Source organism: Homo sapiens, chromosome 15 (assembly GCF_000001405.40).
Source record: "Homo sapiens chromosome 15, GRCh38.p14 Primary Assembly".
NCBI lineage: Eukaryota > Metazoa > Chordata > Mammalia > Primates > Hominidae > Homo > Homo sapiens.
In genome coordinates, this window is record NC_000015.10 from 76253322 (window position 1) to 76268747 (window position 15426).

The window sequence follows — 15426 nt, forward strand, 5'->3', positions numbered from 1 at the left end:
TTCACGGCATCCTTTGAGTATTACATATTTTTTTCAAATTAATAAAATATTATTTTGTGAGGATAACCAAATCAGACTTTGTGTCCCCTTACTTTATGAAGTAGGGAACTTATTACTATTGATCATCAGAAAGAGCAGTGCTGATGATGCTTTCCATAGCTATTCAAAGTGGCAAAAAATGAGAGGATTTTCAAACAATATAAAGTTGAAAGGAAAGTAGAAAACGAAATCAAGCTTTAAAAGATTCAAGAGGCTTCAATGGTAGAGAAAACAGACCCAAATTAAATAAGAATAAATGAAAATACTGCGTTCAGCTTTAAAAACAAAGAAATACTGAATTATTCCTAGACAAAGGAGACGTGGTTTAATAGCAGGCAATTCAAGTGGGGGAGGGGAGAGATTTTGGATGGCCACAAGTGTAATTCTTGCCAACAGTAGGATATGGCTGCCAAAAACCTAATGCATTATTAAGTAGCATTAATTAAAATATTATTTAGGGAGATAATAATCCAACTCTGCACTAGTCAGAGCACAAGTGAAGTAATGCATTCAATTCTGGGCCTCAGGACTCTTGGCTTATGGCCCTAAGGGAATAGCTTGTATCAGACCAATCCTCCTGCTGAGAACAACTACAAAATCTGGTTAAAACACAGATAGCAACTGTTTAAGTACAATGGAGATCAACTTAGGCAGGCAGCACTGAAGGAGGCAGAATCCTGTAAGGGAGGGAGGCACATTGAAATGAGCCCAGCATATATCTCCATTTCCTCCCTTGGGGCATTTGCAGATTCCCCACAGGGATAAAAGCCAATCCGAAAGGAGATACTCTGGATAGAAACCTGCAGTCTTTTTGGTTGAGGAAACACACAAAAGACAGTATTCGTGACTGCCAAACCAGCTGGAAAGTGAGGGAAAAATTCCAGAAGGAGAGAACCACAGAGGGAGAACCACAAACTCTGTACATACACTCCACTCAAAACTCTGGCTGACCCCCGCATTAGGCATGTATGAGGTGAGCTCTAGGCTGCCAGGCTAAGACTAAAAGAACTGAACATAAGGAGATTGAGTCTGGAATTTGAGTTCAGCCAAGTTAACTGCCTGCTAAAACACAAAGTTAATATTCTTAATAGGAATATAACAGAATCCATAATCTCTACAACGTATTCAGTGTCTGTACAATATATTACAAAACTATTAGACAACCAGCAATTCTCAAAATATGGTCAGGATAACCCCGAGAGCCCCAAGACCCTTTCAGGGATTCTGCAAAGTCAAACCTATTTTCATAGTAATACTAAGATGTTATTTACCGTTTTTTTCTTTCATTCTCTCACAGTGCGCAATGGAGTTTCCCAGAGGTGCCAAGACTTTTAAAGAAACCATCACTCTGATGGCTAATAGAATGTATGCATCTGTATTTTTATGTTTCCTAAAAGTTTTTAAGGTAGTTGATTTTAGGTATAAATTTGTGTGTATATAGGGATTAACTTAGTTTGTTCTCAGGACAGTACAGCAGTGTGTGTTCTTACAGTTAAAACTGCTATAATTTCTATAATTTCATTATTGTTCAATAAACCAATGTTTGAAATACTAAAGGTTTCCTTGTGCCTGCAAGGAAACACAAGAAATACACTGTTGTCTTACATGGCAATAACATTTACATTTTTTTAAACTTTTATTCATTTTTAAATTTCTCTAAAACTATTCTATTTTGATAATATTTATACTGAAATAGAGAAGACTAACTTTCTCAACCCACTGCAGCAACAACCATGTCTAAAGATGCTGAAAAAGATGAAACCGATAACAGAGTTCTCTAACTTATGGAAAAGAGAAATATACTCTAAAAAATACTGTGTGAAATAAATATATGAAAAAGTTATCTTTCTCTTAGGTTTACAGATGCTAATAATTTACCTTACTCTATCTTATGCAAAGGAAGTGATGACTATTTTCAAAACAAACATTCAGAGTTGAGAGAAAACTAAACTGGATTTTATTTTAACATAAATGACATGAGTTTAAGAGCCAAAAGCTGTTATTTTAGCTTTTCAAGCTAGAAAAGAAAAAGTCACTGAAGAATCTTAAGTTATCATATTTCATTGGTTAGAGAAGTATAGTTGCTGAGAGACTAATAAAGGTGACATTGCTGAATTCCTGCTTTGAAAAATCAGGAAAACAAATCATGGCACTGTCACATTCCAGTGGTACGTAACTTGCTGAATAAAATATTTAGCTGTAAACATGAATATGAAGATAATATTTCATCTGCAAAATTATACTTTTGCCTGACAAGTCTGTAGACATGACTGTGTTTCCTGCTTTACTTCTATTGTCCAGTATTGATATCAAGGAATCACTGAAGAATATTTTTACATGAATCCTTGGCAATGAACACAAGTGGTGATGAAATACTCAAAAGGTTAAATAGCTTTTTGGAATCCCATGGTTTATTCTGGAAAAACCAAATTGACATTTGCACTGATGATGTGAAAATGATGGTGGGTAACACTGCCTTAGTGGTAGTTTCAAGTCAGTGGCACCAAACTCACTGCATTCTTCATGGCCACATACTCACAGTTTTTTGTTGTTTTTTTTTTTTAAAGCCACTTTCACCTAAGGTCCTTGATAAAGCAGTAAGAATTATTAACCTTGGCAGAGCACGGTGGCTCACACCTGTAATCCCAGCACTTTGGGAGGCCAAGGCAGGTGGATCACTTAAGGTCAGGAGTTTGAGATCAGCCTGGCCAACATGGTGAAACCTTATCTCCACTAAAAATACAAAAATTAGCCAGGCATAGTGGTTCACACCTGTAATCCCAGCTACTCAGGAGGCTGAGGCACCAGAATCACTTGAACCCGGGAGGTGGAGGTTGCAGTGAGCCAAGATGGTGCCACTGCACTCCAGCCTGGGCAATAAGAGTGAGACTCCGTCTCAAGGAAAAAAAAAAAAAAAAAAAAATATTAACCTTATTAAATCTTGACCTTGGATTACATGTATATTTAATATTCTGTGTGACAAACTGTGAAGAATGTAGAAAGCACTTCCACTTCATACCAAAGTACAATGGGTTGTCTCGAGGGAAAGCACTTGTTTAATAGTTTGAGTTGCAAGCTGAACCAGGTACTTTTTTCATGAAACACAATTTTTACTTCAAAGAAAATCTGACAGGCATTTGCATTTTTCGCAGATATCTTACTGTGAATAAAGTGACCTCATCAATTCTGAGATAACAACTGATAGTATTTCTTATCAAGGACAAAATTTGAACTTTTAAGTGAAAATCAAAATTCTAAAACACTTGTACCGATGACTATGAGCTTTGAAGATTCTTCTAACAAGATGAACAAGATGAGTGATGCACCACATAACAACAGTTTTTGGTCAACATTACACTGCATATATAAGGGTGGTCCCATAAAATTATAATGAATCTGAAAAATTCCTATCACCTCAGTGATGTCATAGACATTGTAACATCATAGCACAACATATTAACTTTTTATGTTTAGATACACAAATACTATTTTACAATTGTCTACAGTATTGAGTACAGTAACATACTATACAGGTTTGTAGCCTAGCAGCAATAGGCTACCCCATATAGCCTAGGTGTTTAGTAGACTATGCCATCTAGGTTTGTGTAAGTACACTCTATGATGCTTACACAATAACAAAATCGCCTAATGACACATTTCTCAGAATATATCCCTATTGTTAAGTGATGCATGCCTATATTAACGAACGTGACTTTCTTTTTTAAGTCTTCAATTTTATTTGTTTTAAACAGCAACTAACAGCTTGGAAATGTCCCTAACAGTTAGGACCCGCCCCATGCATTCCAGAGGTTCCCCCACCAAGGCTGGGGCCCAGGTTCCAGGGACTCCCCCTCATCAGGCCTGATTTCTCTCTGGAGACTTGGGACAGAAAAGGCTGTCCAGTTAGAGGGGAAGTTGGCACTAAAGTTCACCATTTAGAAGGGTTGGGCTCAGACACAGCTGCCTTTGTTAGTCTTAAGATATTTTGAGAAGTGTCTGTTCGGAACAGAACTTCTCAAAAGAAGACATTTATGCAGCCAAAAGACACATGAAAAAATGCTCATCATCACTGGCCATCAGAGAAATGCAAATCAAAACCACAATGAGATACCACCTCACACCAGTTAGAATGGCAATCATTAAAAAGTCAGGAAACAACAGGTGCTGGAGAGGATGTGGAGAAAGAGGAACACTTTTACAATGTTGGTGGGACTGTAAACTAGTTCAACCATTGTGGAAGTCAGTGTGGCGATTCCTCAGGGATCTAGAACTAGAAATACCATTTGACCCAGCCATCCCATTACTGGGTATATACCCAAAGGACTATAAATCATGCTGCTATAAAGACACATGCACACGTATGTTTATTGCAGCACTATTCACAATAGAAAAGACTTGGAACCAACCCAAATGTCCAACAATGATAGACTGGATTAAGAAAATGTGGCACATATACACCATGGAATACTATGCAGCCATAAAAAATGATGAGTTCATGTCCTTTGTAGGGACATGGATGAAATTGGAAATCATCATTCTCAGTAAATTATCGCAAGGACAAAAAAACCAAACAACGCATGTTCTCACTCATAGGTGGGAATCAAACAATGAGAACACATGGACACAGGAAGGGGAACATCACACTGTGGGGACCGTTGTGGGGTGGGGGGAGGGGGGGAGGGTTAGCATTAGGAGATATACCTAATGCTAAATGACGAGTTAACGGGTGCAGCACACCAGCATGGCACATGTATACATATGTAACTAAATTGCACATTGTGCACATGTACCCTAAAACTTAAAGTATAATAATAAATAAATAAATAAATAAAGATATTTTGAAATTTGGTAGCATGCTCAGATTGTGGGCATGGAGAGGGGCTCCTGAACTCCTCTCCAGCCTCACTCGCTCTTGGGCAAGCCTCATAGCACCCCTTCCTCTTGCTGGCTCAGCACGCTGCCTTTGGAAGAGGGACACCTTATAGCCTGGGTGCTCCAGCATTCCTTTGTGTGACCCGGTCAGCTGCAGGGAAGCATCCTCCCCTCAACTTCTCCTGGCCTAGACAGGGTACGGAATCAGAAAAGTGATGAAGATTCAGACCTGAGATACCCACCCCTTACCAACCCTTACCTAAAAGGGAATATTACAAGAACATCTCTTTGTGACTTGGAGGGGCAAACCTGGATATTTAAACCCCGAGGGTGGTAACAGCTGGGCCCTCAGGCTGGAGGCAGCCCAATGCATGCACTTAAGCAGCAGGAGCAGCTCAGCGGGACGGTAGAGCCTACAGGGCTGGACCTGGACCCCCCACTGCCATCCACACCCATGGTAACCATGGAAACATAATCACTCTGCTCCTGCCAGCTGTCTGGGTTCAGACAACCAGGACTGGCCCACTTCCATTAAGCCAAGGCCTAAACTGATGCCAGGCTGGCCACAGAGTGGTTGCAGGAGGAACTGGGATTGGGTGATTTGGTCAGTCCAGGCTTCCCAGCACAGCTTGGGAGGACTACCACAGGAGCCTCCACACCTTGCTGTCTGGGCTGAGGTCAGACAGGGCTTTGTCAGCCAGCACAGTGGCCATCAGAGCCAGCCAAATTGCCCTGATGCCCTCTGCCTGTGAGCTAACAGCTATTGTGTGGCAGTAGCCCTTGCTGCAGCAGCAAAAGCCTCTGTGTCTCATTGAGGGGACTCTCTGGCTGGTGCTCTGCCTGCCCTGGCTGCTCAGCCAGCCCTCCAGGGGTGAGGATGTATCAACATTCACTGGGAGTGCCACCCACTGTCCCCATGCCACTGCCATCCCCAGATCCACTGTAGGGCTGATCCCCGCTAGGCAGCTCCAGGCTGCCTCCCACAGTGGGCTCCTTGGCTCTCTCGATGTTGATGTATAAGGGGTCCTGGCTGGCGGATAGCACAGACAGCTGGCCCAGAATGTTCTCCAGTTCCATTCGCAGACAAGTAAAGCTTGGGCGCTGCTTGGGGTCAGCACTCCAGCACTGGTACATGAGATCATACAAAAGGTCGTCTGAAGGCCTAAGGAGACCTTGGCTTGGATGGAGTGGGAGTGTAAGAACGTCCTCCATACACTCTGGAAGCTGTTTCAGGTGATTCCCGCCAATGAGGTAGTTGTAAATCTCAGTGTTTTCGATGCCAGCGTATGGTGTCTGCCCACGTGTCATGATCTCCCACATGGTCACCCCGAAGGCCCACACATCACTGTGCACAGTATACAGGTTGTCAGCCAGGCTCTCCAGGGCCAGCCACTTGACGGGCAATTTGGAGGCACAGCCCTAACAATAGTAGCCCCGCTGTAGATCTTCCAGGAGAGTCCAAAGTCAGCCACACACACGGTCATGTCCCCTGCCAGCATGCAGTTCCGAGCGGCCAGGTCTCGGTGGATGAAGTTCCGAGAGCTCAGGTACTCCATGCTGCAGGCAATGTCCACCATGAACCGGATCAGGGTAAAGGGGTTCTCCCCAAGCCAGGAGGTGAGCAGGAAGGCGTGCAGGTCCCCATGCTTCATGAAGGGCAAGATGACCACGGGGATGGGGTGACAGCCTTTAGCCCTGCTCCAGAGGCTCAGAGGCTTACCCCAACAAGTTTGGCCACATGTGGATGGTCAAACTCCTTCATGCAAGCTGCTTTCCTGAGGAACTCTTCAATGTCACTTGAGGCAATGAGATCAGCTTTCAGCATCTTCATAGCCACTTTCACAAAGGAGCCATCCTCCTGCTTCAGCTGGGCCTACCGCACTGAACCAAACTCTCCTTTGCCCTATATCCAGCCAGGGTGAACTGCTGCTCTGGGATGAGCACATCCTCCAGTTTTTCCTTTAGTTCGCTGTTGATGCCCAAGCTTTCCAATGTGGCCTCGATGCACTTGGGCCTTTCTTGATTGAAGGACCGGGCTGCCCAGAAGTGAATGGCTGGCTCTCCCCGGGAAATGACACTGTCAAAGCCTTGCCCAAACCACGTCTCTTTCGGTCTCTTTTGAAGCAAGATGAGGGCCAGGGCAGCAGCCGTCACCAGGGCCGTTAGCACACCAAGGACCACAGGTACCCAGGATGTGCGGCTGTGAGGAGGGCCCTTCTGGCCTGCATGGTCATGAGAAGAGACCACCAGTGGCTGACTCCAGGGTCCACAGCCAACTGCACTGGAGACACACACACGTACGATCAGGCCCTTTTGGGGATCCCAGCCTGTCAAATTGGCCCTGGTCCCCTCCATTGTCAGCTCATCCTGGGTTCCATTGTCTTAAACCCAGGACAGTTTATAGGGTCCCAGGGGGCCTTCCAAAGGGCCCTCGGGGATCACTTCTTCCCACTCCAAGATGAGGCCTGAATCTGTGTGGATGGCATGGAGGTTTTGGGGAGCGCTGGCTGGGGCTAGACCCTTGGTCTGAAAGGGCACCCAGTCAGCATAAGGAGAGGGCCCCAAAGCATTGGCACAGCACACCCTGAGGCTGTAGCTGGTGGCAGGCACCAGGTCCCGGAGCAGGCAGGTAAAGGGGGGCACAAGGACCACAACAGCCAGGACTTCCCAGCCTCCTGGGGCCTGTGTCACCTGAACTGTACAGGACTGCAGCAGGGCTCGGCCATCAGCACCTGGCATCCAGGCCACACTAGTGTTGCCGCTGGAAAGCTTTGTCACGGTGATGTTGAAGGGGACTGCAGGCAGTGCTTGAAGGAGAACAGTGGCTATGCGAGAAGAGGCCAGGCATTTTAGGCTGTGAACTTCACAGGAAAACATGGGTGCTCTGGGTCACCCCTGTTACATTTAAAACAAATGGAGAGGGAGCAGGTCCCCCGATCTTCGTAGTTCCTCTCCACCAGACAATGGTAACAGGTTCAGGGGGACCCACAGCCTTGCAAGACAGTTGGAAAGGGGCATTGGGTGGCACTGCCAGATCTTTTGGCTCCACTGTGAAAAGTGGCACACCTACTACCGTGAGCCACACTGGCTGGGAGATCTGGGTTTCGCCCCCATCCACCTTGCACCAGTACTGGCCCGTGTCAGAGCGCTCCACTGACTTCAGGCTGAGGAAGCCGATCCAGTGCTGCTCGCTGACTGGGATGAACCAGTTCTGGACCACAGACCCATCCTTCACCCACTGGATGTCAGGCTCCTCCATCCCCTCCATGCTGCAGCTGAGCTTTACCAGCTGCCCCTGGGACACTGTCAGCTTTGCCGGGACTCCCACGAGCTTCAGACCTGCCTGCAGCTGCGGACTCTGGGAGCAGCAGAGAAGTCAGAGCCGCCAGCAGCAGCCCCAGCTGCTGTGGCGGCAGCAGCAGGAGCCCCAGCCGCCCCATGCTGTGCCTCAGCACCATCTGTGGTGATGCCATACCATGCCAGGCCCGGCCCACGAGTGAGGAGGGAGGAGGGCTGAATGTGACTTTTTATATCGACAAATGTGTCAACATTTGGAAGATCTTCATAACTCAGTAAACCATTATTTTCTAAATGAACAATGCATAATATTATAAAGTGGTAAAATATTCACTCAGGCCAGGTGCAGTGGTTCACACCTGTAACCCCAGCACTTTGAGAGGCCAAGATAGGTGGATCGCTTGAGCCTAGGAGACCAGTCCTGAAATGATCCAGATTTTGGAATTAGCACACAAGGATTTTAAAGTAGGTACTATACCTATGCGCAAGGATGTAAAGTAAAATATCTGTAATGGTCAAACAGATAAGAAATTAGAGAAATAAAAATTTTAAAAACAACTAAATGCAAATCTCAAACTAAAAAATATAAAGCCTAGAATAAGAAAGTCCCTGGATAGGTTTAAAAGCATATTAAAATTATACAAGAGTCAGTGACCCTGAAAATGGACCAAAAGAAATGATCCAAGCTATAGAGTAGGGAAAAAAAAGAGGAAAAAGAATCAACAGAACTCCAGCAATCTGGGAAAGAACATCAAGATATCTAAAACATGTGTAACTAGAGTCCCAGAACAAAAGTGAGGAAAAAAAAATGAAGCAGAAAAAATAGTAACATAAAACGTCCCAAATGTGGTAAAAGGCATACATTTATAGATTTAAGAAGCTTGCTATCTGAAGCAGGTTAAATACAAAAAGACACACCCCTAGGTATACCATAATCAAACCCCCTTTTTTTTTTTTTTTTTTTTTTTTTTGAGAAGGTGTCTCGCTCTGTCACCCAGGCTGGAATGCAGTGGTGCAATCTCGGCTCACTGCAAGCTCCACCTCCTGGGTTCATGCCATTCTCCTGCCTCAGCCTCCTGAGTAGCTGGGACTACAGGCGCCTGCCACCATGCCCGGCTAATTTTTTGTATTTTCAGTAGAGACGGGGTTTCACCGTGTAATCCAGGATGGTCTCGATCTCCTGACCTGGTGATCTGCCCACCTCGGCCTCCCAAAGTGCTGGGTTACAGGCATGAGGCACCACACCCGGCCTATCATAATCAAACTTCTAAAGATCTACGATAAAGATAAAATCTTGAAAGCAACAACAAAAAACATACAAAGGAACAATACAAATAATGGCTGAGCTCTCATTAGAAACAATGAAGACCAGAAGACAATGGAACTTAAAAGTGCTGGGGGGAACTATACCTGAAATTCTATACCTAAGAATAGATGTGTCAGGACGGCCCCGGTAGGCACCAGTGGCCTTTGGAACATGTCTAAACTTGCTGGCTCCTTGCTTCTAGCACTCCCCTTATCTCAAGTAGCCATATGTTTCAAAGAAAATGCTACACCATCATAGCTGTAGCTCATTTGCTTGATATACCACTTCCTTTCAACCCCCACATCCTCACCACCTGTTTCTTTGTTTGATCACCAATAAATAGTGTGGGCTTCCAGAGCTTGGGGCCTTTGCAACCTCCATACTAGCGTTGGCCCCCTGGTCCCACTTTCTTTCATCTTTTCTCATTCCTTTGACTCCGCCGGACTTTGTAGCCCCCATGGCCTGGTGTTGGGTCTGATCACCCCAATATTCATGGCACCCAACATGGGGCGACAAAGACCACAGTGAAGGAACGCTAGAGCATGTGAAAGCGGAGGATGCATCGTCAGAGGACACCCAGGGACGACTGAAAGAAGCTCGGTGAGGAAGCTGAGCGCTTGGAAGAACCAGGGTAACAATGGGATGAAGTTAAAGCAAACATTTTGCTTATTTGAATTTCTTAAGGCATTTATTACAAAGGGGAGTGAAAGTTAGTACTCAGAATTTGTTATCACTCTTTAGTACAGTAAAGCAGTTTTGCCCATGGTTTCCGGAACAAGGGACTATGGAGTTGGATGAATGGGAGACAACGGGAAGAGATTTTAAAAAGGTGTATAAAGACAGAGCAAAAATTCCAGTTTCCATTTGGTCAGTGTGGGCACTAATAAAGGTAGCTCCTGAGCCATTTCAAACGATGATGAGGCAGATTCAGATGAGGAAGAGGAGGACGAGTGTAAAAAACTAACTTCAGATTCTGAGTGTGAGAAACAGCTACCGGAGGAGATTAAAGAAAAGAAAGGAAAACTAAAAAAAGTATGTTTTACTAGCCCATCAGCTCCACCTGCTGAATTAAGTGAATGGCCACCTCCTCTCTCCCCCTTACTGGGTGAGAAAATGAATCAGCTGAAAAACTTACTCCTCCTGTAGTTGCAACATTAAAACCTGGAGCAATTGGTGGTGCTATACAAAATTCTATTCAAAAAGCTAGAGCTGAGGGAGACCTTGAAGCATGGCAAACCCAGCAAGAAGGACAGAATATAGCTAATTGGGCCACTCTTCCTTTTAAGTTTTAAAGGAATTTAAGCAAGCCATTATTCAATATGAACCGAACTCTCCTTTTGTGAAAACTTTGTTGAAAAATGTGGCTCTTGATAATAGGTTAATACCATATGATTGGGATACTTTAACAAAATCTGTTCTCACTCCGTCCCAGTACTTGCAGTTTAAAACATGGTGGGCTGAGGAAGCTCAAACTCAGGCAAGGGAAAACACACAAGTGCAGTCACCTGTGCTTGTTTCCTTTTAACAGTTACTGGGAGTTGGCCCTAATTGGGGTCGATTAGAGAATCAAGAAGTAATGGAGGGTGTTGCCATTGTTCAGCTGTGCTCTGTGTGCTTATGGGCATGGGAAAGGGTAAATGTTACAGGGGGAAAAATATCCTTCTTTCAGTTGTCTGACAAGGACCTAAAGAACCATATATTGATTTTATTGCTTGGCTCCAAGAGGCTGTGGCTGTATATAAAGCCATAACTGATAAAACAGCTCAGGATGTTATAATACAGCTTCTTGCATATGATAATGCTAATGCAGAGTGTCAAACTGCTATTAGACACCTGAGAGGGAAGGCTCATTTAGCTGAATATATTAAGGCTTGTGATGGCATTGGAGGTAACTTACATAAGGCTACTCTTTTAGCTAAGGCTATGGCTGGATTGAAAGTAGGAAAGAATATGTCCCGTTTCTCAGGCTCTTGGTTTAATTGTGGGCAATTTGGACACACAAAAAAGGAATGTAGAAATGGAAATCAAAAGGAAAAACCACTACCATCCATCAACAGAAAAGTCCTGGTGTATGTCCCTGGTGTAAGAAAGGCAATCACTGGGCAAATCAGTGCCATTCTAAATTTAGCAAAGATGGACAACCTCTTTCAGGAAATAGGAAGAGGGGCCTGCCTTCGGCCCCTCAACAAACTGAGGCATATCCGGCACAGCCAGTGCCCTTAACAAACATACAGCTGTCCCCCGCCACAGCAGACAGTGCTGCCATAGACCTCTGCAGCACAATTCCTGTCTCCTTCCTAGGGAGCCACCAAAGAAGGTCCCCATGGGAGTTAGGGGACCCTTACCCTCAGGAACAGTCAGTCTATTACTTGGAAGTTCTAGTCTAAATTTAAAAGGTGTCACTGTGCATATGGGAATAATTGACTCTGATCATACCAGAGAGATTCAACTAGTTATTAGTTCCTCGACTCCGTGGTCTGCCTCCCCAAGAGAATGAATTGCTCAGTTGTTGCTGCTACCCTACATAAAACTAGGAAGCAGCACAGTGAAGAGAACAGGAGGCTTTGGTAGTACTAATCCAGCAGGAAAAGCTTTATATTGGGTTAATCAAGTGTCTGATAAAAGACCTATTTGTATAGTAACTATTCAGAGAAAGGATTTTGAAGGACTAGTAGATACTGGAGCTGATGTCTCTATTTATTGCTTTAAATCAATGGCCTCGACACTTGCCCAGACAAAAGACTTCCACGGGTATCGTTGGCGTAGGGACTGCCTCAGAAGTTTTTCAAGTCCCTTGATTTTACCATGTCAAGGGCGGGATGGCAGGGACAATCCAACCTATTATTACACCTATTCCTGTCAATTTATGGGGTAGAGACTTATTGCAACAATGGGGTGCTGAAATATCTATTCCTATGGATCAATATAGTGATATTAGTGGACAAATGATGAAAAATATGGGATATTGCTCAGGAGAAGGACTAGGAAAAAACAAAAATGGCCAATCAGAACCTTCAGAAGGACAAACAGATCAGACTGGATTGGAGTATCATTTTTAGCAGTGGCCATTGTTGAGCCTCTGGCTCCCATTCCTCTTGTTTGGCTAACTGCCAAACCAGTTTGGGTGGAGCAATGGCCACTGAAACAGGAAAAACTGGAAGCTTTAAAATAACTGGTGCAGGAACAATTGCAAAAGGGACATACAGAGCCTACTTTCTCCCCTTGGAATTCTCCTGTATTTGTCATTAAGAAAAAATCGGGTAAATGGAGAATGCTAACAGATTTGAGGGCTGTTAATGCTGTAATTCAACCGATGGGCAAGCTACAACCAGGGCTGCCCTCCCCAACAATGACTCCAAAATACTAGCCTCTTATAGTGATAGATCTAAAGGATTGCTTTTTTTACCATTCCTTTAGCTGCCCAAGATTATGAAAAATTTGCTTTTACTGTTCCCGCCATAAATAATAACAAACCAGTGCACAGGTATCATTGGAAAGTACTGCCACAAGGCATATTAAATAGCCCGACTATTTGTCAAACTTATGTCGGGAAAGCTATTAAGCCAGTTGGAGAACAGTTTAAAAAAATGTTATATTATCCATTACATGGATGATATTTTGTGTGCAGCTGAAACTAGGGAAGAATTGATGTGCTACAAACAGAAAAGGCTGTAAATGCGGCAGGGTTAATTATAGCCCCCGATAAAATCCAAACTTCTACTCCCTTTCAATATCAAGGAATGAAGTTAGAACAAAGTGCTATTAAGCCTCAAAAAGTTCAAATTTGGCCGGGTGCGGTGACTCATGCCTGTAATCCCAGCACTTTGGGAGGCCAAGGCGGGTGGCTCATGAGGTCAGGAGATGGAGACCATCCTGGCTAACACAGTGAAACCCCGCTTCTACTAAAAATACAAAAAAATTCGTTGGGTGTGGTGGCGGGCGCCTGTAGTCCCAGCTACTCAGGAGGCTGAGGCAACAGAATGGCGTGAACCTGGGAGGCGGAGCTTGCAGTGAGCTGAGATCACGCCACTGCACTCCAGCCTGGGCGACAAAGCGAGACTCCGTTTAAAAAAAAAAAAAATTCAAATTTGAAGAGATAATTTAAAAACCTTAAATGATTTCTAAAAATTATTAGGAGACATTAATTGGATTCATCCAACTTTAGGCATGCCTACCTATACTATGTCTCATCTCTTTTCTACTTTACAAGGTGATTCTAACCTTAACAGTAAATGCTCCCTGTTCAAAGAAGCATTGGAGGAACTTCCATCAATTGAGGAAAAAATTCAGCAAGCACAAGTAGAACGAATTAATCTGATACAGCCATTACAGTTTTTAGTTTTTCCTACTAAGCATTTGCCTACAGGAGTTTATAGTTCAACAGGATGATCTGGTTGAGTGGCTTTTTCTACCTCACAATACAACCAAAACGCTCACTCTGTACTTAAATCAAATTGCTGTGCTAGTAGGACAAGCGAGGCTGCGCACAACAAAGCTAATGGGATATGATCCAAATCAGATTATAGTTTCATTAACAAAACAACAAATTCAACAAGCCTATATTAATTCGCAAGAATGGCAAGTTAATTTGGCCGGTTTTGTTGGCATTCTTGATAATTATTATCCTAAATCTAAGATATTTCCATTTCTATAATTAACATCCTAGATACTGCCTTCTGTTACTCAAAAAGCCCCCACTGGAGCAGCCATTACTGTTTTTACTGATGGATCTACTAATGGAAAAGCCTAATTTGCAGGACCTCAACAGCAAGTTTTTCAAACTGACATTGCTTAAAGAGCTAATCCTACTTTAAAAACTCACATACAAAAGGGAGGGGACCAGCAATATAAGACACTGCAAATGCAATTGCATTTAGCTTTATTAACATTAAAGTTTTTAAATTTATAAAAAGATCAACCCACGACTGCAGCTGAACAACTGACAGGACAAAAGGAAAATAAAAAGGCTGGACAAGATATATGATGGAGGGATGCACATACAAAAAGCTGGGAAAAAGGAAAGATAATTATATGGGGAAGACGATTTGCTTGTGTCTCTCCAGGTGACAACCAGGTGTCTGTGTGGGTGCCCACCAAACATCTGAAGATCTATCATGAGCCACAGCATCTAGTGGACCCACCTGTACAGTGCAAATTGAAGGTTTAAGGATTGCTTTTTTGCAATACTATTGCACAAGAAGGATAAGCCTCGATTTGGTTTCTCTATGCCTTCTGTTAATCAGAAAAAGCCTGCTTCTCATTACCAATGGTAACTTTTACCCCGCAGTAATTAACCAAAGAGGCAGAAGCTGAGTTACAAATGCTTCAGCAATGGCATGCCTCCCAGCTACAGCAAAAAAAAAAAAAAAAAGCCTTTGCTTCTGTTTCAGTAGATTTACTAATGTAGGGGTGAGGGTATGTTTGTACTTTTGCAGGAGATGAAAAAACTGTGTGGGTGCCCTCAAGGTGTGTATGACCATGGAGCGGGAGACTGGAGGGACCCATGGATCCCAACCATGGACCGGGTTCCCCCAGTACAAGCCATGAGCCAGGTCAATCTGAATACGAAGACGGAACGAGGACCAACCAGAGTCATGCTGACATCAACCCCCATAACATGGGACAGATCAAGAAAACCACACAGGAAGCTGAGAAACTGCTGGAGTGCCAGGATTTTACCTTTTGCTGGGATTCAGAGCTACAACAGATGCTTAATGGACCAATGTTTTCTGACTGAATTCCTCTCTACCCTTCTACCCTAAATACAAGAGACCCTAACAGGTAGGCAGGAATATCATCACCCCTATTCAGCATGAAGAAGTTACAGAAGACAGACCTCCATCCTTCTGCAACCCTTAGAATTAAGGGTCCTCTTGTAAAAGGGAAAGAGGAAATATGTAAGAGGCATTCAA

General features: G+C 43.8%; 1 protein-coding gene and 1 pseudogene across 4 annotated transcripts in view; both read right to left on the reverse strand.

Annotated features, from left to right (window-relative positions):
• ETFA (electron transfer flavoprotein subunit alpha) overlaps positions 1-15426 on the reverse strand; it is a 96117-nt gene that overhangs the window by 37969 nt on the left and 42722 nt on the right. The gene's annotated exons all lie outside the window — the stretch shown is intronic.
• TYRO3P (TYRO3P protein tyrosine kinase pseudogene) lies at positions 5968-6831 on the reverse strand (annotated as a pseudogene). The gene has a single exon (NR_028510.1). The product of NR_028510.1 is annotated as a TYRO3P protein tyrosine kinase pseudogene (transcript).